The 1,602-nt window shown below is 37.0% G+C and overlaps 1 annotated feature.

Annotated features, from left to right (window-relative positions):
• Window positions 784-1,354: an enhancer, noted in NCBI's record as "OCT4-NANOG hESC enhancer chrX:42663629-42664199 (GRCh37/hg19 assembly coordinates)". NCBI's record gives its function as "activates a minimal SCP1, AML or CMV promoter by ChIP-STARR-seq in primed H9 embryonic stem cells {active_cell/tissue: H9 hESC(primed)}" and the evidence as "EXISTENCE:reporter gene assay evidence [ECO:0000049][PMID:30033119]".

Here is a 1,602-nt window from a genome sequence, read left to right on the forward strand (position 1 = left end):
ATGCCCATTGCTTAATCTTGGCTTGACAGTCCCAGTAATGGGCAACTCCACATTCTAAGTCACCGTATCACATCTTTGAAGAGCTCTAAGGATTAGAAATCCTTCTTTATATTGAACAATCATTTTATTGTCTTGTAGCCTCTATCTATTACTTGTAATCCTATTATTTAAAATGGAAAGGAGAAAATCTACATTTCTTTATGAGAGGTTATCAATTATCAGCCATCAAACCCGCCCTAGGTTTCTTGTCTCCAAGTTGGAGACACTTCAGGTACTTCAACTCCATTACAAATGCATGATGTGAATACTCAGAGTGGGCATATGGGATAAAATATGCTTTTTTTTCTGCTCCATATCCCCCATTTCCAGATGTTCCTGTGTCTCCTCTCAAACATACTTTCAGGAAAGGCTGTGAAAAGGTTTTCTCCCAGCTCAGCTTCTCAGCCATCTATTTCCCCTCCCTGAGTAGCACATTAATCCTATGTGTCTGTGTGTGTATTTCTTTTGAACATAAATGCATATTAGTGCACAAAACGTTTTTTAGGGGGTGACATTTACAGTGCATTTAATTGATTAAATGTGCTTTAATTCATTTAAACAGTCCTTATAAAAGACATGTGGACTATTTTCAATATTTTACTCTTAGAAACATTCTGCATGAATACTTGGAATTGCTTAGTCAATTGCTATATTCATTTTTAATTTTGACAGATATTGACAAATTGCCTTATGTAGAGTTCTAACAAACTTAACTCCTAACAACACTGAATGAGAGTGTTTTCCACAAGCTTGCTACCACAGTTTGTTATAAAGGTTTTAGTTTTTGTCAAACTGGAGGATAAAAAAATGTCGATGTTGTAGTGGCCAAAAGAAACCTTCCCCTTCACTCTCTGAATGTTCACTGAAAATCAACTGACAAAAGGAAGATTAATAGGAGAAAAGACTTACAAAATGTATTAACATGCACATATGTACACGAGAAACATGTAAAATATGAAAGCTCAAAGAAAGGGCCAGATGGTTGTCTCTATTATACCATCTTGAGGTTACAGAAGAATAGGGGATTGGAGCATGGGGAGACAAGCTAAGGGAGGGAGAGAGAAAGAAAGGCAAGGAGTAAAGGCAGCCTTGTTATGTAGATGAAGACTCACAGGTAGCAGCTCTCAGAAAAAATAAGTGGCAGCCTGTGGTCGAGTTAATCATTACCAGATCTGGATAAAGGGGAGGACCTCAGAAAAAGTCTGGCTGTTTATTTCACTAATGTAGATTTTTCTCTACAGATGCAAATCTACTCCACAAAAGAAAGCTTTTCAGGGCTATTCCTGTCTGCAGGCCCTCTGAACAGCCATCCCAAAATATGTCAAAAAAGTATATTTTGGGGTAAAATATTTTTGGTTTTTATTAGTCCCCCATTTAAAACTTTATTTTTAGAAAGTTTCACATATTAAAGCCCAAGTGACTAGCTTTAGAGAGATTCAGATAAGAGATGTGAGATTGGCAATATGGGAAGGACAACACAGATTGGAACAAGCAGCCCATATCTTCTCAAATCAGTCTTAGTCCTGCAAATAGGTCAGTTCTGTTAAATAGCTGTGTCTCATT

The sequence above is a fragment of the Homo sapiens genome, chromosome X, assembly GCF_000001405.40.
Source record: "Homo sapiens chromosome X, GRCh38.p14 Primary Assembly".
NCBI lineage: Eukaryota > Metazoa > Chordata > Mammalia > Primates > Hominidae > Homo > Homo sapiens.